Here is a 21559-nt window from a genome sequence, read left to right as displayed (position 1 = left end):
TAAATCTCTCACCCAGTGTGTCTTTGGTTAATGTGCTTCTAGAATCAGAGCAACCTCAGAGGAAAAGAGCCCCTGTGCTCTTCCTTCCCATCACTTAGAATGCTCTCTGGCCCCAGACCTCATCTGGGAGTCCTTCCAGAAACTCTGGCCTTACATAGTGCCATCTGCTCATTCCCTATCTACCTTTCCCTTTGGTTTCCTGCTGTCCTCAACCAAGGAAGGTCCCTAAATGCTGTTTCTACAGCCCATTCTGTTTAGAGAATTAGACCTTTTAGTCTGAGACAGTTTTCTATTTGCAGCTCCATGTGTTGTTAAGAGATAAAGAGAAATGGTAAGTTGCATCTGAAATTAAGTTATTAGCAAAATTTGAATCACAAACTTGCTCAGGATAATTTTTCTCTTTCTGTTTTCAATACTGGTGAAGACCTCAGAATGCATAGGGCATGATCACTAATCAAGAGGAGAGGGCAACCACACATTGATTGCTACAGTCTGGTTTTAAATGCAAAGCCTACTTAGAGTTGCACTCGATGACCCCTTGAAGACCCTTCAGAAGTTGAGGATAACTAATTGCTTCATGAACGTTTAAGAAAATATAATTTGGTTTCCTCAGATAATTCTCCAGATGTGGATCTATAATATATTCCCTAGAGATTTACCAAATGAATAATCCTACCTATTATCAAGAAAACAAAAAAATAAAAATATGCTGAGACTTGTAAGAACACCTGTAAAAGAAAATTGCAGATTCTTGGCCACTAATGTCTTTTAAACAGAAACAAATAATAATACTAAGACTAACACCTCCCAAATTGAAGGGTATCTTTCATCAAAGCTGGTGTTCATGAATTCCAAATTTTACATACTATTAATGACATGTAATTATTTATAAATATTTTATTTGGATATAATTACATATAATCATTAAAAACCAAAACAGAAATGATAGCTCAGACCTCTTTTATGGAAGAATAGCAGAGGCATTTACATACATGCAGTCATTAAGCAGAAGAAAGTCTGAGTGACAATCTGAAATCCAAACACGCTGTCGACCCGAGCTGCAGTGAGTGTGCTTAGGAAAATGAGATAGGTCGCCCAATGCTGCCATCTTCAGATCACTACTGGTAGTACACCATTCTCGCAGCAGTTCGGGCCTAGCCAAATGGGCAGTGGCAAAAGCTTGAAGGGACCAAGTCCACAGACACAGAATCACACCAATAAAATATGTAATGGTGCCACCTGGTGATTTATAAAAGCACTCTATGCAAAACCCTTCTTATGTTTGGCATTAGGCACCTGAAGTTCTTGCTAAGGTCACAATTAAAGAGATGTATGACTTTGTCAAAGAACACTTGATGGGAAAGAAATTTACTATTCCCATTTCCCTACTGAAGGGCCCTTTTGCCTCCCTCCTCTCACTCCCTCTGCATCCCTCCTTGAAATAATTACATAGCCTCTTCCTGAGGGTCCTTGAATGTTCATAAATTAGATTAAAATGATACATATAAACTTCTAGGAGGAAGCCCGAGTTGCCTACTTCTTTCACTTCCTCCAGGATATTGGCTTACACACATCATTTAAGAAATAAATTCCTGAGTAAGCAAGTGAGGAAGTGACTGAGTGATATATTTTCCCTATCGCCTTCCCTAAAAATTTGATCTTGCATATTGGTAGCATATATTTTAAAATAATCACATACATCATTCCACATCTAGAATTCCATTAACTATATATCTAGCACATAGGCAGGAAGCAAGAAGTTATCAAAGAGAACTTAAAAGGGCCCTTTTAAGATGGATTTGAGATTGGTTTGAGATGTGCCAAACATAACAAAAAGTTATAGGCTAAATTGGGTGTACTTCACTTATAAGATACTCCCTCAGGTCCTCAGACCCTAGTTATCTTTATCTTGTACACAGTTCTAACAAAGCTTAGTTACGTAGCTTCCAAACCCACACCCTCACTTAGAAGGGGAACAAGAAAAATATGTCCAAAAAGCAGCCCAACCCAAAAAGTTCATCAATACAATATTTGGTGTTTGAGTAAATAAACGCTCCATATTGACGTTATCACTAAAGAACTGTATAATTCATCAATTATATAGAAATATGAAAATAATAGGAAAACTCAACCAGAAGAAGGCTTCCTCATTTAATAAAGTGTTCTCACATATGTTATCTTACTGCCCATTGTGAAGTAGATAGAGCACTTATTATTTCCATTTTATAGATGGGAATACTGAGACTCAAAGTTCAAGTGGTTTGCCCGGTTCCAAAACTAGTGGTTGCCAGAGCTAGGAATCATGCACAAGTTTCCCATCTACAAATCCAGCATTCTTTTCTTATCAGTAACTGCACTTATGGATACAAGGCCACTATCAGTCAGTCACACTGGCACAGCCATTCCTGTTGTTGAAATACTGAAATATTTCCAGGATGAGTGTAAGTAGCTATCACCTTATGCTCCCCATGACCCCAGCCACTGACACTGCCCCATCTCTTTCTAGGTTTCATCCCCCGCACCCTCCCCACCACTGCCACTTCTTCATGATCTAGCAAATAAAGGCTCAATGTCTATAAAGCTGGGAATTCCAGGGTCCTTTCAGATGCAAGTCTAGCAAGCATCTGTGCTGTTAGGGGCCCAAGTCATAACAAAAAGATAAATCTCAGAAAAGAAGACTGTCACTCAAAGATGTTCTAACATCAGCGGCTGTAGCTTTGGTTAAGTGCAGATAAAAACACATAAAGCCGGGCGCGGTGGCTCACGTCTGTAATCCCAGCACTTTGGGAGACCGACGCGGGTGGATCACGAGGTCAGGAGATCGAGACCATCCTGGCTAACACGGTGAAACCCCGTCTCTACTAAAAATACAAAAAATTAGCTGGGCGTGGTGGTGGGCACCTGTAGTCCCAGCTACTGAGGAGGCTGAGACAGGAGAATGGCGTGAACCCGGAAGGCAGAGCTTGCAGTGAACCAAGATCGCACCACTGCACTCCAGCCTGGGTGACAGAGTGAGACTCCATCTCAAAAAAAAAAAAAAAAAAAAAACAACCAAAAAAAAAACCACATAAAAGGGCTCTGTGGCTCACAGCCTTCCTTTCACAGTGTTTTTACTAACATTTTTCCATCTAGTTTTTGAGAAGACAACTAGTATGTCAATGTATACACTTACAAAGTTGTTGAAAGGTAAAGGCCCCTCAAGGTCTGCTCCCACTTACCCCTTTACCACCTACCCTAGCTACTAGAGTTGGAATTTTGCTATATCAAAATGTCAGTTTACAAGCAGCAAGTGTTTTCCCACCTTTAGCCAAGATTCCTTAATCTTGATTAAATTGCAAATGACAATAGTACTGAAATAAGAATGAGGCTTCATAGCTAAACAAAAAGCTTTGGAATAGAGGTTTTAAGGCAATAAAAATCAACGTTGGGAACCAAAAGTGAAAACAGAGGCTGCATTGCTTAAACTATGGAGGTCCCACTGCCTCTGAAATATCTATCCCAACATCGTTCATCCAAACCTCCCACCAGACATCAATTTTTGTTGTTTCTTCAATCATTTAAACTCCAAATACTCCTAAGAATCACACATAAAGCCAAATCACACTAAGGCATCAACAACTACCCCAATGCTTTGTTTTGCAGGGCAAGCATTCTTGAGTTAAAAATTTTTCTGGGCCGGGCACGGTGGTTCACGCCTGTAATCCCAGCACTTCGGGAGGCCAAGGCGGGTAGATCACCTGAGGTCAGGAGTTTGAGACCAGCCTGGCCAACATGGCGAAACCCCATCTCTACTAAAAATACAAAAATTAGCTGGGCATGGGGACGGGCGCCTGTAATCCCAGCTACTCTGGAGGCTGAGGCAGGAGAATCACTTGAAACAGGGAGGCGGAGGTTGCAGTGAGCCGAGATCACTCCACTGCACTCCAGCCTGGGTGAGGGAGTGGGACTCCTTCTCAAAAAAAAAAAAAGAAAAAAAGAAAAAAAAAATTCTGGGACTAGGCTTCAAGAGATAGCAGAAAATAGGTTTTTGCATGCTTTATTATTTTGCCCTGGGCTAGTCCTATGTAAAATGTAAATTAAGAGGGTAAAAATGCTAGAAACTTCGAGATGGAAGATGTTAGGGCTGGTCCAGAGTTCTAGTCCTCACTAACATGGTTCTGTGCAATCCTGGGGCTGCAGCTGCTCTGTAATCACAAGCCACTCATGTCACATCTTGAAGCCTCCCTTTGGCAATAGGAAGCCACTAATCAAGCATTCACAGATTTGGGAGGCAGTCATCATATAAATTCCAAGTACCACTGGTCCAAATGCCTTTCACGACTGCAGCTACACCTAGATTTCTATTCTCATATTTTACCATATACTCTCTTCGAGCCTCTCAACGAAACCCACCATTCACTGGGTTTCATAGCAAAGCTGTTGGAAAGGTGAAGACCCCTCAGAGTCCCCTCCCACTCTCACCCCTTTACCACCTACCCCAGCTAGAGTGTAAAAAATGCTAGAAACTTAGAGCTGGAAGACATTAGGGCTGGTCCATAGCGATCAGTAGGTCACAACTTCATCAAATCACATTTTTTAAATTAAATGTACTAAATTCCACTGTGCTAAGCTCTAGTTGAGATGACAAAGGTAGCTAAAGAGATGGTCTCTCTGCTCAAGAAAGGCATGATAGGGATACAGAGAGACTAATGATAATAATAAATCTCTCCTGTTTTTACTCCTACCACAAACATCTCATTCAATCTTGAATTCATCTTTGCTTATCTGTCTCAGGATGTGAATAATATGAAGCTTGTGTCAAATTTTGAAGGAGAAATGGGATCTTAGAAGGACTGCAAGAAGAGAAGTTATTGGAAAAAGTAAATGGTCTAGGACACTGGCCTGAGGTATTGGGAGGGATGGGGGTGATTTCAGGGAACCCAAAAGGCACATCATAGGAAGGTGGAGGTCAGTCAAATTACAGAATGTACCAGATCACAGGCTACACTGAGACCGGCAGAGATGGCCTCTTTTACCAGTGATTCTCCTCAAAGCAAGAGAGGGAAAAACATGTGGAGAAAAGAGAAGAGTTGGGATTTGAGAAACATCTTGTCAGCTAGAAAAAGATGACACTGAATTGTGAAAACAGCATACATTGTCTTAGGTTAAGAACAGCCATCGAATGAATTAAAATGTAAAAACCTAAACTCTGAGGAAACATTATGGCAAACCTTGTGGAAAATTGATCATCAAATATAAGAGGGACATCCGTGGAAGAAAAAAAAAGTGTCAGCAGAAAACAACTTTTATTGAAGAATATGTCGACATAGGCGATTTTCAGCAGCACTGTTTTAGTCTGAATTTTTCTGTGTGTTTCTTAACTATTGTTTCCTATATCTTTTGGGTTGCTTTCAAGAATAAATGGGTGATTGTGTTTAAGTGTACTCTGGCCATTTCAGTTTTATTGCCCCTTCCTCAGCTTATCTGGGAGCATTTTCAACTGCAAAGAAGGCCACCTGACTTCTTATTTAACACTACTTCCTATACCAGCCTTTAATGGTATTTTCCAAAATAAAAAAAAAGAAGAAAAAAGAAATATACCCCAATCTCTTCCTTTCACTTAAGGACTAACAGGAATGTCATGCATTCATCTGACATTGGTGCCACCCAAGGAGTTGGCCCACACTTAAAACTCTGGCAAGATCCATCTAAGATACTCCCATCTCCAAGACTCAATGGTAGGTCATGACAACCATCTGGTAGCCCAATGACAAACCTTCATGGTCTCATTGCTCTAGAGTAAAAGTCCAAACTTCTTTATGTGGCAGAAAAGGCCCTCCATGGTCTAGCCATCGCTTTCTCTCAACCTTCATTGCTCCACCGTCTTCCTCCCAATTGTCCACCCCATGGGGAACTAGTGGCAATTGCACAGACTGATCCTGCTCTTTGCAGATTCCACCTGGGCCTTTGCACACTGTGTTCTCTCTGCTTGGAATGCTCTTGTCATTGCCGAGCCCCTTCGTCTGATTCGTGTCCATCTGGCAGGTTAGGTGGCCCTCCTCCCTTCCCCAGTGTAGCCCATACGAATCCACACAGAAACTGCCAGTCTTCCTGCCTGTCCTCTCCACCAGACCCTGAGCTTCCTGGAATCAGGAAGAGGGTCTGACTTTTGTTGTTGTTGTTGTTATTGTTGTTGTTGTTGTTGTTGTTGAATTCCTGCTCTCTATCATCCTGCCTGACATGCGGAAGGTACTCAGCAAATAGTTAAGGTAGAAAGAAAGGAAGAGAAGGAGGGAGGAAATAGATAAGCAAGAAGAGTTGCCCTGCAGGCCATACCAACAGAGTCAATGTCAGCCTTCTGAGTGAGTCATTACTAACCTCAGCCAATTTTCCAGTATTACAGACTTTGTAAAAGTCTACAGTAGCCATCAAAGTGGTTTTCACTTATAGGTTTAGAAATAGGTCTGCTCTTTGACCTCTCTCTCTACTCCCTTTAAGCAATAGCCAGTGGTCCCCAAGTCAGTGAGGAAGGGTGGAACCAGCCTCCTTGCCACAGTCAGGCCCTAAGACACCACAGGCCTTTTGGAGCATGGATGAAGGTTGGTTGGCAGGTAGCTCCTATAGAAGTTAGGCAGCAGTTTTGTAGTTAAGTGGTCTCTGGTCTCCTTCATTACAAGTAGCAACTCTGAAGACCCATTGATTCTGACATCTGGATTCTCATCCAAAAATGTCAGGGGGAAAGTTTTTCAGTTTGCTGCTTTTGAAGGTTGTAGCCAACTGGAGACTTGCCAGGGAAAATGCTAGAGAATGGACGAGTTTGTAACAGATCCAAGCTCCAAAGTGCCTCACAGCCCAACCTGCTCAGAATTAGCAGCTACAGGGAATTTCTATCAGCATCACTGCCCAGACCTTCATTTAGCAGATGATGAAACACAAGATCAGAGAGATGCTATTTTTTCTTGGAGATGAATCTGTGAGATGTCCATCCATCCAATTCTATTTTTTACAAAATTCCATGGCTCTTTAAAAATTGGTTTTATTAATACAAACAGGCATATTTTATTCCTTCTGGACCTGCAGGTATTTTGCCTTTCACAAATCAAAAACTAGTTTTATATTCAGCAGTCTCACTCATTGGACCTTAGAAATAGTGCATGAGCCTCAGTGCAACATCTCCATAACAAAGCAATTGACAGAGTTTGGCTCTTCTTTTAAAGCAGTTCTATCTTTTTCCAAATGACCCTTTGCTGAACTTACATAACTAGCTACCTTGAAATAGCTAAACTTCACTGTGAGGACATGGACACACACACACAGGTACACATCATTTTCATATCAGGTGCATGGATCAGCATTCCATTTATATATGTGCTTAATCTACTTTGCACAGAAGACCTGCTTATGCAAATGCTATAGCTTTGGCAGTGCCCAGGAACTGATTTTTATAATCTAAGCAATTCTGAGCTCCTTGAAACAGAAGAAAACTGATGAGCGCACTCTCAGCCATTCATCCTTTGGCATGCCCTAAAATGTTCTGCATCAAATCACACATTCTCCCCAGATGTGGTGATTTTAAAGGTCAGCTCTCGAATGCTAGTATGAAAAATGAGGTTTTTACTGACTCCCACATGAGCTGTGGGTAGTCACCACTGCCTTTTAGAGGGTCATTTTATTTTTATTCCTGCATTACTAAAAGCAACACCCTCCTAGACATTAGGTCTAAGGAGCTTGCACTTTCTCGCCTATTTCTTTCCAGGCAAGACAGAGAATCCTGGAAGATGATTTCGTGTCTGAAAACTGACGAGAAAGGTATGTTTGGCAGGGAGAGTCATTCTTGCCACTCCATTGCACTGAGCAGTCTTCTATTTTAAGTTTTTATTAATGAAGTCATGTTTCTTTTCTAGTCACTAACCATCACCACTAGCATCATCATCTCTCATACTCAGAGATGACACCAAGCATCTATATGTGTAAATGGGGCTGAAAAGATATACCTTTGAGCTGGGGTCCCCGTCACATTGAGGGTCTTTTAGTAATTGAACTTCTAGAAGGCATTTAAGCTCAGTTGAGCTCACCTATCTCTCATAATAATCACTGCCAGTTACTGAAGCCTGCACTCCACCAGACACACTGTTAAGCACTTTACATCATGTTCACAACAACCCTGAGAGGCAGACATTACGAAAGTGATGTAATGTGGTAGTTTGAGCATTGACTTTGGAGTGAGAGACCAAGGTTCAAGGGCATGCTCTGCCATTTACTTGACCTTGGAGACGTTATCTAACCATTCTGAGTTTTAGGTTCCCTGTGTGTAAAATGGAGAAAATAAAATAACTACTACTTATTGAAGTTTTATTATTTGCCAGTGCTAAATCCCCCATTTCAAACATGGGGAAACTGACATGGAGCTTGAGTAACTTCTGCAAATTTAAGGGCAATAGAAGTAGATTGGAATCAAGTGTGCCTAACCCCCAAAGACTGTGCTGTTTTTACCATACCACACTATCTTCCTTCTGTCCCCAGAGTGACTGAACATTACAGGCCCCCAGAATTGATGTTTACATCGTGTTCTTGATAGTTGAGCTTGGTGTGTGCCAGAAAAGACAGGGGTCTGTCTAGCTTTCCTGCAGCCATTCTGCCATGTCCTGCCCTGGGGCAGGTGCCTTCATTTCCTTTGTGACTCCTGGATATCCTAAGAAACATAACACAGGACTGTTGAAAGCCAATGAAGAACACACACTACAAACAAGTCACAAAAGGAAGACTAGTTTTCTTAGTCTCACCATTTGGAAATGGCACTCCAACTAGCACTGCTCAAGAGAGCTGAGATTACAATCAATGAGGCTAGTTTAGAAATATAGTAAGTTGTGTCTCTATTAAAAAGCCATATTACAAAGCACAAAACAAAATACTATGTAATATTACAGCATTCTACTTATGTTTGCATTATTTGATGGACACAAAATTAATTTGGTAAAGGATAGTGAAAATTCATGAGACAATAAAGGATGATGACTTGAAATATTTCTAGTGTCTCATGGTAAGTTATTTTGCCAACTTACTCTCTGGCTTTGGCTACCAAGAGAGCTGGTAGCCAGAATGACAATCCCAAGCTTAGAATGACAATCCCTCTCTTCTCTTTCCCTTCCCCTAATCAATCAGTAGAGGCAGGACAGGCAGGTGATTGAAGATGAAGTTCCACTTCCCAGGGGAGGATCATGAACCCCATCTAAGGGAACAACAGCAACTCAGCTCTGATCAATTGGCCACTGGTATAAAGCAATCTGACTGCCAGAGAAGCTGGTTTTGTTTTTGTTTCTGTTTTTGTTTTTGAGAGAAGCTAAGAATCTGGATGTCATGTGATATCCTCTGATGTGTAAATATAGGTAATTTTTTACACTATAAGCAAGATGCAGGCATACACACACACACACATGCACACTGCTCAGATATTAGCCAGACCAGAAGATGCTGCTTTGTAATCCCTTTTTTAGAGGATTGCATGATTTAAAGACCCTGAAATCCACTTTGTAGCAACAAATTGGCTCTCCAGGACAATGAACAAGGGCTTCTGCTGTCTCACTTGGTCACAACTTACCCTAACACCCTAAACTCCTGAGAAGTAGTTTGCTAGACTGGACCCAGGACTCAGAAAACTAATGGCTCAGTCCCTGCCATTATTCTGCATTATGGTCTTACACACAACATTTAATTTGTCTGAGCCTCCCTTTATTCACCTATAAAATGGGGATTCCTTTCCTCACCAAAATTGTATTAAGCACCGAATGTGTGTGCAGCATCATGTGAATGAATACCAGGACTGTGTTAAGGGACAATATGAGTCCTGCCTCCCTTGAAGTGCCATTGTGAGACTCACATGAATGAACATATGTCAGATGCTAAATAAACGTAAGAGCTATAACTCAGGTTAAGATTCCCTGCCCTGGGACAATAAGGAACAGCATTATCTGTGTGGCTAACTCATCCCATCTCAGGATTCTGATTCTGCAAAGAAATTACATTCTGATTAGGCAAGCATGGGCTTAATTACAGGTCAACGGTTTCTGAATCTCAATCTAAGGAGTTTTCCAAGGTAGAGATAGCCCATTAGATGCAAAAGTTTCCTGAAGTATTAACATCTATTCTACCAGTAAGCATATGTAACAGCAAATTAAAATTTACCAATTTGACTGCTGAGAGAAGCCTCCCCTCAGGAAGCCACCTTTGATCAGCCATCTTGCTCCTTGAACCTGATGTGAGTGCCCGCCTTCTTCTATCTTTGCCTTCACAAGCTATAAAGTCCCTGTTCACTTATCTATATCCCTCGGTAGACTGCAAGCTCCCCAAAAGTAGGACTAGTGTTTAACAATTGAATTAACTAAGTCCTGACACATAGTAGTTGCTCAGTAAATATTACTTAATGAATAAATGAATGGGCCATAACTGACTCTATCAGCGCTGTGGAAAAGATATTTAGTAGGAATACAATAAGAGTGTGCCTTTGCTAGAACATCTTTCCAAAGAAGCAAAATCCAATGCCCTTACCTTGCCTATTATACCGTTGGCTTTTTTCTTGGAAGAACTAAGACTCTTTAATTAGATTTGAAAGAGGAAAAAGTGAACAGCCAAAAAAAAAAAGTTTTTGTGAGAGCTAAACAATTAAATGTTTCTAAAGCATGTCATTTTAAGGTACATCCCCTTGTTTTATTACAGAGAACTTTTAAACTTTGCTAGTTAGACACTAACATAGGACCCCTGTGTACCAACATGAAGAGATATCCAAAACACATCAAAACTAGAGCAAACAACATCTTTCAGAACTCTTCCAATGGCTTCTTTGCATACTTGTATGTTAATGAAGCCATCTTACATCCAAACTGCGAACACCTGGCTGGAGTTCTAAGAAGCATGAACTCATAAGGAGGAGCAGCCAAGATTTGAAACCCCAAATTTATTGCTTTATTTAGTTATTCAGGGAAGGCTGCATGTATTTATGAACAGCATCACTCCTAATCTGCTTAACAAGTTTAGTCAGGAATTCATCTTTCACAGGCCCTCACTGGCACAAACAATATTTTTTCATTTGTTTTCCCCAAGCTGTTTCCTGTGACTTGCCTTTCTCTATGCTCGGGGGAGGTGTGCTATTCACTCAGGGGAAGCCTCCTCCATCTCCAAGGAGAAGCTCGACATCTCTTAGGGGAGGCCTTACCTCTATTATTTATGGTTAAAACACTTTACATTGCAAAGTAGCATGCTATCTCCATCTAAAACCATTTTGTAATATAAACTGCATAGTCTGCACTTCAGAAGGGGAAACGTGAGTTGTTGAAAGTTAGAGGATTACCCAAGGTCACAGAAGAAAGTAAGAAACTCTCCAGGGGCCTTTCCTGGACATGAGTGCTTTCTGATATGGCCACCCAGAAGTCTGAGAGTATAGTCATGTGAAACATGCTAGCTGGCATTTTTTGAACGCTTAGCACTGTGCTAAGCAGCTTCACAATGCATTATTTCATCAATTCTCACAACAGCTCTACAAGATTGTATAGTATCATTAGCCTCATTTTAAAGATGACAAAACTGGGGCACAGAGAGGTTAAGTAACTTGTGCAAAGTTACTGACAAAGATCTTAATCTTAACCAAATTCTAATCAGGTTCCTCTGAACCATTTTTCCAGCGACACCTTGACTTTGGTGTTTCTGTGCTCATGTCTACATTGTCCAATGTTAGCAAGAATCCTGCTAAATTGTTTAATTTAGCCAGAATTCCTCACCCTTGACATCTGATCACCCTCAATATCTGACTGGAATCACCCTTGATATTTGATCACCCTCAGTATCTGATCAGATTCCTCATCCCCTACCTTTCCCCAGATGATGTCTGAATCATCCTGGCCTGCCTTCCACAAGAGTCCTGTTAGGACAGTTCAGCCAGAATCCTCCCTTGCCCCTGAGGTTTCCTCTTAGTAACTCTCCATGCACTGACCACCACCTCCCCAACCCTGTTCCTTGGCTATAAATTCTTACTTTTCTTTGTTGTATCAGGAGTTGAACCCAATCTCTCTCCCCTACTGCAAAACCCCATTGCAGTGGTTTCTGCACCTATTATGATAGTCCTGCATAAAGTCTTCCTTACCATTCTTTAACAAGTGTTATGAATAATCTTCTCTTTAACCTCATCCAGCCAGTAAGTGACAGAGCCTGGGTATAAACCCAGGTAAGTTAACCCCAAAACCTGCACTCTGAATTACCCACTATACTATACTGCCTTACTAGCAGGTCCCTGTGCTGCACAGCTCAGGAAAACCGCATAGTGTCATATATAGTAGAGTTCACCCTGTTTTATGGATTCCAGTTTCCCTTTTACACCCTAACAGTATGAGTATCTGCGACCAAGTGCAGAGGGGGAGCTTTAGAATACTTTTGCTACTGACAGATGTATGTTTATGATCTAAACTCAAAATGAGAACAATGAAAGGGGCGAGTATTGATTAGACTGGATGAAAATAGCTCTCACTAATGGGGACAGAACTAAAGGAAAATTTGAAGATTGAGGAAATATGTGTGGAAAACAATTCTTTAATTAAAAAGTGGTATGTGCTCAATTTTTTCTCAAAACAAAGAAGGAAAAGCAAACAAAACTTATCAGCCACAGCTAATGTTCTCTAAAACACTTCGGAACTTAGTTGATTGAAAGTTACAAACCCCCTATTTCTAGAATATACCCAATTTATTCTTTCCTCTGTAGATATAAAAGATAAAGACTTTCCTGACAGCACAAGTGTTTGATAAATGGATGCAAACCTCGATGCTCCTTTTTCCAATGCCAGAACTTCCATTTACTAAGTTCTTATTTGACTTGGCAAAATGACTTTTCAGAAAAGCTAGAAGACTATATGCCAAAATGTTAAGAGTGTTTATTGCTGCTGTGATAGTGCAGATGATCTTTATTTTCCTTCCTTATCTATGTTTTAAATTTTTTCTACAATAAATATATGTTATCTTTTTAATAAGAAAGAGGAAAAGAGGTTTTTGTAAAGACTTTAAAGCCCCCTCAGTAAAGAAGTCCCTGAGTCACCCTGCATTAGCCTCCTCTTCATTGCTGAAGAGATGATTTTTTATGGACGTTCTAAAGGACAGACTTTCAGATCCTGAAAAAAATGATGAGCACCCCCCTCACAAGGTGATTTACTCCTCCCAAACCTAACAGCATTTCTTACTTACCCCTAGTCTGGATTTAAGCCCTCAAATGACAGCATTTCCATTTTCTAGGAGACGTTTCCCCAGTGTGAAATTCACCCATCAGAAACAGTCCAGAAATGCCCATCCTTACAGTGGCAAGCATATAAAACTCTAAGCAAATTGCAATATTTCTAAGAAGACAGCCAAGAGATTTCTAATCACTGTGTGTTCAATCTCATGTCGTGTTTCTTATTGTGATACCATTCATTGTGGTGGCTCCTAATGTACAGTAATACATTTTACATCTACTAAATGTATTCTGGGTTTTTATATCACAGTTCAGAAGAATAGCTTTAGAAATCCTTTTGACTCCTTTATTTGAAAACTACATTTGTGGAATGGGGTAATTAAATCCCTATAGTTTGATATAACATTACCTCTGCTATTCTAGCTCATAAAAAAGTCCCAACCATCTTCTTTCTGCTTTTGCTAGAAATGGAATTACACCACAGATATTTCTGTTAATACAAGTCTAAGATTTTGAGAGCCTACTCCATTGTAGTTAAACCAGAAAACCCTTTCTTTTATACATCTTTATGGAAATTAAAATGACTGCAGAAATCTTCTGTGCTTAATGAATGTATTCTAGCTTACTTTGAGAAGAAAAAGTAAGAAGTCCGCAATATCAGGACTTTTGAATTATGGGAAAAACTAGAGAATTGGGGGACTTAAAATGACTTTAAAATTAGATATCCAATAACACACCTCCTTTGGTGCAGTTAGAATTTTTTAGGTAATGATGAGAAGAAGTATTTCCAGACCTGGGTATGACATAGATAATGTCATATGTACATCATTAAAGTATGCCGTCTCCTTTACTCTTTATTCAACATTGGGCAGTAGAAGAATATCTTCAATTGAAAGATGACATTTGAGACAAAAAGAGGTAATATAATTTGTTTCTTTGTGCCTAAGCTGAGCACAAGTTTAGGAAGTAACAAATCTAACACTCAAACCCAGCTGTGCTAACTTCAAGTTCAGATTCTTTTCACCACATTGCACCACACCACATACTGTACATCAAACATCCCGAATAGCATCTTCATTGAGCTGGGATGAGTGCTGAGAGATCCCAGCTGTTGACTATGGTGCTTCTGCATGGATAAAATGAAGTGTGTGCAAAGCATGGTGGGTTCAGCACTCAACTCAGCACATGAACAGAGAATAAAGAGTTACCAAGGTAGTTCTATCTTTATGAGTTTCCAAATATCTAAAATAGGATTGTGTTGCTTTGTTTCTCATCTGCAATTATATGATGGCTCTCTGAGAGCCCTAGCATACAGTTCTAAATAACAAAGAAAGATTTGAGTTGCAAAAATATATAACTATTCCAGATTGCAAATGTATTTGTTTCTGAACATAGTGGGCAATGCAGAGCTCCTGTTTGTTTTCCAATTCCAGATGACTGTGGTGTTCTCATCATAATATAAATAGATGGCAAACACCTCATAATGGCAACAACAAATATCATAAAGGAAACATGCACATATGAGTAGAACAAAACAGCCTGGGCTACAATATCAAAGTTCTCAGGAGAGAATTAGTCAGCAGAAAGTGTAGCCTCAGAGCACCCAGGTAGAAAAAGGAAGACCAAGATAAGGTAGTGGTGAAAATAGTGAAAAAGGACAGAAGTTAAGGTCTATGTGACTAGTTAAAGAATTTGAGCACTTCTTGCAAGATGCTACTACTCTTCTATATGTACAGCAGACATAAAAGTGAAAGTAATGACTTGGAATAGATATTATTAACTTTTAATTAAGTTACTCTTAAAAATAACACAGAAACTGATCATCCACACAAACATCTCAATTAAGAATGTATAAAAGTGCATTCCCCCCAGCCCTTTGTCAGCTTTGTATAAAATGATCCAAACAGCTGAAATAGTTCAAAGACTCTACATGGAATAAATAAGCCTGAGGCTTATTTCAAGCTTTCTGTAGAGATACTAAAGTGGTCATTTTTAATGTCATCCATGTTCAGAAAGAACTACAGCTGTGCATAAGTCTTTCAGCATCCAAAGATTCCCCATCCCCAGCCAGGTAGGCAAAGACAAGAGGGACCAGGAAACAAGCTAATATCCTCAGCAGGGAGGAAAATATTAATTAGCAATTTATAAACTAAGGTTACCTTTATAATTACACTTCTAACATAAATTATAGTTGATTATTAGTTTAAGACTGACTGTACATTTCATTACAACTCTCAGCATGAGAAAGTACTGGTTATCCTGAAAATTCAAATACACGTGATTCATGACCACCAAAAGCCCCAATCAATGCAAATTCTTTTACTTGGAACAAATAAATTATTTGTTTTAATCAAGGAAAGTACAAACAGAACCCTGTATTATTAATTTCCTGACACTTCTTTCCTGCAAAAAAAAAAAAAGTAAAATAAAATAGGTGATGGTCTGGTCATGTTCACAATGAATTTCGCCCTTTCAAAAAACATTCTAGATTTATATCTCCTAAAATGTGTTTCTTGGAATTCTAAAAGCTTGGCATGCTAATATGCATTTCCTAAAAAGAGACCACTGTGACCGTATAATGTATTTTCTTCCTTTTTGTGTTTTGTTTTGTTTCTAAGATTTGTATTACTTGTCAAGTGCACTCCATAGCAATCAGTATCTAAATGTTTAGCGTTCTAACCTTGCCATTATCAGAGCTCAGATGTAGCCACGGTTCTTCCACCCTTTTCCTGGTCAGATAAAAAACCAATTTCTAATTTACGATTACTACAGTGTATTCTCATTTTCTCTGTCTGTCTCTTGCTGTCTCTTTCTCTTCCCTTTCTGTCTCTCTCTGTCTCTGTCTCTCTCCCCCTCCCTCATCCAGTGACACCTGTGATTCTGCTTATAACTGTAAGCACTGGCCACCCTTTCTTTCTCGCCTGGGAGTATGAACAGCCAGACCCTCTTTGCATGGCATTTATCTTTTTCTAATATTATTTTTGATTGACAAATCATGGTTGTATATATTTATGGGATGCAATGTGATGTTTTGGTATTTGTATGTGACATGCATGATTAAATCAAGTTAATTAACCTGTCCATTTATCTCACTTACCTACCTATTATTTTTATGGTGAGACTTTTGAAAGTTACTCTCTTAGTTATTTTGAAATAGACATTATTATTGACTATAGTCACCCTTCTGTGCAATAGACCTCAAAACCTATTCCTTCTATCTATCTAAAACTTTGTACCCTTTGACCAACAATTCCCAAGTTCACTTTTTTTATACTTTAACATTTCCAAAATGGAGCTTCATCTTACAATATCAAAAATTTAGCTAGCTGAATCTTTTCCCTCTAAAAAAAAAAGCCACTATTAAATTAACAAAATGGTTTACAACCAATGGCACCTTCAAATGGAGGAGATATGGTAAGTTTAGAAAAATAACTTTTTATCACTTTTGGAGATTCACTCCACATATTATGTTTCTAAGAAGTTTGTAATCCCAGCACTTTGGGAGGCCGAGGTGGATGGATCACCTGAGGTTAGGAGTTCGAGACCAGCCTGGCCAACATGGCAAAACTCCATCTCTACTAAAAATACAAAAATTAGCCGGGCACATGCCTGTAATCCCATCTACCCGGGGGGCTGAGGCAGGAGAATCACCTGAACCTGGGAGGCGGAGGTTACAGTGAGCTGAGATCACGCCATTGCACTTTGGCCTGGGCAACGAGAGAGAACTCTGTCTCAAAAAAAAAAAAAAAGAACACAAAGCTGTTTATTTAAGCTAGTGTTGTCCAAATACATTTGCCCATGGGTCCCTCCTTTTACAGAACTCATAATGCCATTTCATAAGGCTAACATTCCAGGAACCGGTTCTGGGAAAGACTCCTTACTCCCTCATTACCCTTAGCCAAGACTCTTCTCTCATCAGCATTACTGAGATCCAGTAACAAATCTTTCAATCAGAAAGTGAAGGTAAACATGATTCAGGGTTGACAGAACAGAATGGATCACCTAAAACTCTTGTGGAGGAAAAATTCCAACTGGGCCAGAGGCCGATTTATTCTGCTTTGGAAACATCTGTGGTGTATTCACACTGATTGCTTCCCCCACAGATGATGCACAGCTTTGTCTGTTTCAAATGCCTTTATGATATGAGAAATGAATAGACTGAATTGAAGCCATCTGCATCATAGGATGGGATGTACTGTTTGACGAAAGATGCCCCTTTACATTTTCTAACATTTGGGGGAAGAGAAATCAATATATTTCAGGGACTATTTCCTAAATTCATCTGATCAGTAAATTTCTGTTTGTGTATTTGTATAAAAATAAATAATGTAAGTCATATGGAAAAACAGCAGACAGAAGAGGATGAGAGCAGAGACACAAAACAGAAGCAATGACATGGCTCTCATAGATGAAAGGTCTGTTTTCAGGGCTTGAATAAGTCATAAATACACTCATCTCATACTGCATGATATTTATCTGGTGATATCCTGTTCATCCAGTTGTTAGAAAAGCAGGCAAAATATGGAAATAAGGATGAAAGATTACTATGTGCCTTTCGAAAGACATACTCTCCTATTGTCTAATGGATCTGCATGTCTAAAATGCCACCCACCATTCCTGCTACTGAAATGTGGTCCTTGAACCTGCAGCAGCAGCATGATGTGAGATCTGTCAGGAATGCCAAGTCTCAGGCCTCACTCTAGACCCACTCCATCAGAATCTGCATTTTAACATGATCCTCAGGTTACTTCGTATACATCACATTTTGAGAAGCACTGATCAAGGGGATATAATCTTTGTCTGACTTCCTATTTATTATTGATTAGGGTCCACAGACTGTAAAGTTCAATGTTAATTTGTGAAGACTGACAAATTGCAAATTATTTTGTCCACAAGACATGCAAATAATTTCTGCCCAGTAGAAAAGATAACCTCAAGGTTATGGTTTTATTGCCCTGTAGAACATTAACCATTTTGCATCTTATTTCAGGATTCTTTCCTTCAGTGACTATATATTCTTGGTCCCTCAAATTCTTCTTTGAACTAGATTTACCATCCTGCTTTTCCCTCCCTCATTAATGGGTTTTAAATAAATCTTTGACACATGTTCAATGCATATGTATGAGAGTCGTGTTTGTAACAGGTTTAAAGTTATGACTCAAAGGCAAGTCACCTCTCAACCACAATAAGATACTTATCTCTACTGAACACTGTAATAGCTGTCTTTTCTTAGGAAAAATATTGTGCTGTCCAGAAAACTGTAATTGAGAATGTACAATGTGATATAAAGAAGAATCTAGCATGGGCTTGTCCCTCAAGGATAGTATAGTCTAAGGTAGAATTTAATTTTAGATATAAGGACAGAGAATTGAGAGCCTTGTAGTTCTGTTTCAGCTTTTTGCAGACATCACTTGCAGCCAAAGAACCTTTTGTTTTCTTTTAGTTTTGGAATTTGAAGCCCTTTAGCATAATATATACATTCTCCAGTTGTCCACATGCTCTGATACTCCTTATTATCTTATATCAGGCTATTTCACACGTGTGCTACCTAGCTGGCCAATGAAGTAACATTTAAGTTTACAACTCCTAACATACACACTAATCTATTAAATTCACTTCCACTAGTGCTACAGTGGTAAATAGCAGGTCTCAAAACTATAACACACTCTAAGCAGTCTTTATTGGGAATATTTTTGCATATCTATCACACACAGACCTCGGACAGCTATGATGAGTATGAAACAGAGTAATGCTGCCACAACCAGTGGTCTTATTTATTATCCACCAGAGGGCAAATTATTTACATGTATAACAATGCATTTGAAATATGTTTTCTAAGCATTGTCATCAATTTCTTCAGATACAAAAGAGTTCATTTAAATGGTTCTCAGGGCATAGAAACCATTGCCCACATTAAATAGCAGAGATAGCTTTATTCTCAAAACTGAGCATTATTAAAATGTCAAAATAAATATTCTATAGAAATATAGCAAGGAGATAGAAGAGCCATAGGCAATATAGTCTAGTACCTCGGAAAATCAGACCAAGAAGTTCAAAAGCTGCTTTGGACAAAGAGTTTGGCGGTGCCGATTAGTCCTAGTGGAGGTGGTTTTCTTCTTTAGATGGATTTGTCGATAGCACATCACAGAAAGTTATTACATGTCTGCTTTCACTAGGCATGACTCTCTTTTTCATAAGTGCTTAAATTCACTAAATAAGGAAAAGCAGGCACTATAGAAAAAGAGTCATTAATAATATAAATCTCACCTAGAGTCAAAGAGTAATATGGCCTGTCTCATTGTTCTGCATAAATAGTGATTTCCATGGCTTTCCATTTGTCCTCTCTATAGATTTTTCTCCTTTGGTGCATCTCATTGCTCATTTTCCTCTACTTCTTCAGAAGACTTAATGTGAACAACTTTGAGGAAATCAGCTAATAATACCTCTATTTCTCATCTGGCCTTGCTAGCTACCATTATCCCCCTGCCATAGACTTTTTATCCCTGCCAGTAAGACCTGAGCTCTTAATATTTTTGTTTCTGCAAGTGGGTCATTAAATTTGCCTTCTAGTTTCAGTATATGGTTTGAGGTTCATTAACATGCATGGTATCCAACAGGTTATTTATTCCAGGGCTTACTTTGAAATTGGCTGGTTGGAATCTGTGGGGTTTTTTTTCAAGACTATCTTCTGGCAATTTTCTATTCACTTTGTTTTTAACTGATGGATGGTATGTGGCTCTTGAAGTCAATAGCAGTTTTAGTATCATTTCAGGAACAATCTCCCTTAGCCTCCTCACACTGTGTGAGGTTATCCTCCTCCATACTCTCCACATCATACAGAAAAATCCTTCCAAATTTCTCTTTGGTCTGCAAAACACTATTCGAAGTAAACGGGCAGCCTATAGAATTGGGAAAATTTGGAACTGGAAGGGTCATGAGAGACAGAAAGTCAGAGTGAGTTGGGGTGGGAGCTCAAGCAATATCAAGAAAAGAGAAATGAGTGAATCAGTCAAAACCATGGTGAGGCAAACACCCACCCCTACTCCATCCCAAATTCTTCACTGCATTTAAAGCATTTATGTTAAGTCCTTTGCAAGTTTACACTTTCTTTTAAACTTTCAAAGTCATCATAAGACTGCAGGTAGGTTGGCCTCCTTGGAAGGACACTTGATCCTTCCTAGCCATGACCTATATAGAGAAGACCATCTCTTCTAGCTCCTGCCCCCTATCCTGAAGCCCAGCCTCCAACACTGAACTCAGAACTCACTCACACATGGTGAATGTTCAGCTAAATCCATTTCTTCTACATAACTACTCATGTATATAAATAAAAAATAATACTGACTCTGGGTTTTTTGTATTTTGGGGTACTAGACTGTGACTTTCTTGAAGAAACTACCACCTCTTTTTTTCCCCCTGTCCCTACCTCATGGTACCTAGGATCCTTTAGCCATTTAAAGAATGCCTGGTAGCTTAAATTGGCTTTTGCAAAAAAGCAGGTACATTTCAGGGAAAGGACAATAAAAGAGAGAGGGAGAGAAAAAGAGATGGTGAAACATGATTAATGGCCTAATGTTCTCTACTAGATGGAAGTGTTTTTAGCTGTTGGAGCTCAAGCAACCCAAGGCCAAGAGTATTGGAATTATCCTAAGGAATGCAAGCTCCTAAAGAAAACTTACTCATCCTACAAATTTGTTGGCCTAGTAAAATAGATTTCAAGGTATGAGTATTCATTTTTCCCAGAAAGTGTAAAAGTAGAAACAAAGAATAATGATCCCATAAAGATTTTGATGGCCTAATCCCCAGAACCTGTGAATATGTTACCTTTGCAGATGTTGATGATGGCCATACATAGTGAGACGGGAAGATTATCATAAATTATCCAGGTGGGCCCAATCTAATCATAGAAGCCGTTAGAAGCACAGGACTTTTCCCAGTCTTGGTCAGTGAGAGAGAGAGATGTGATGACAGAAACAAGATCAAAGAGATGCAGCGTTGCTGGCTTTAAAGAGGAATGAAGAAAGCCATGAGCCAAGGAATGCAGACGGCCTCAAGAAGGTGGAAAAAGCAACAAAACGGCTCATACCCCAGAGCCCCCATAAAGGAACACAGCCCTGCCAAACCAGAGAAATTATTCTGACTAAAACTATTCCTCTATTCCCTCTTTCACTCTTCTCCACTTGACTATCTTTTCTCATCTTTAAAGATTCAGTACAAACTATCCTCTTAAAAAATCTGTTTTGTCGATATAAGCTATAAATTTCCAAAAAGTGAGGAGAACATTGTCACATTCCTTATAAATGTAATTTGAATGATGGAATTAATTAATCATAATTTGATGGACTGAAAAAGGACAATAAAATGGTATTCATG

At 39.3% G+C, this 21559-nt stretch overlaps 1 protein-coding gene across 1 annotated transcript in view, besides 2 other annotated features; it reads right to left on the bottom strand.

Annotated features, from left to right (window-relative positions):
* The window catches only part of TPH2 (tryptophan hydroxylase 2), a 93596-nt gene that overhangs the window by 14077 nt on the left and 57960 nt on the right, over positions 1-21559 (bottom strand). The window lies entirely within an intron of this gene.
* Positions 961-1255: an enhancer, noted in NCBI's record as "tiled region #15256; K562 Activating DNase unmatched - State 12:CtcfO, and HepG2 Activating non-DNase unmatched - State 12:CtcfO". NCBI's record gives its function as "activates a minimal TATA promoter and a strong SV40 promoter by Sharpr-MPRA in K562 cells, with weak activation in HepG2 cells {active_cell/tissue: HepG2 | K562}" and the evidence as "EXISTENCE:reporter gene assay evidence [ECO:0000049][PMID:27701403]".
* Positions 1026-1195: a silencer, noted in NCBI's record as "silent region_4660". NCBI's record gives its function as "represses an Ori minimal core promoter by ATAC-STARR-seq in GM12878 lymphoblastoid cells {active_cell/tissue: GM12878}" and the evidence as "EXISTENCE:reporter gene assay evidence [ECO:0000049][PMID:35858748]".

The sequence above is a fragment of the Homo sapiens genome, chromosome 12 (genome assembly GCF_000001405.40).
Source record: "Homo sapiens chromosome 12, GRCh38.p14 Primary Assembly".
Classification (NCBI taxonomy): domain Eukaryota; kingdom Metazoa; phylum Chordata; class Mammalia; order Primates; family Hominidae; genus Homo; species Homo sapiens.
This window is presented reverse-complemented; position numbering and strand designations above follow the sequence as displayed.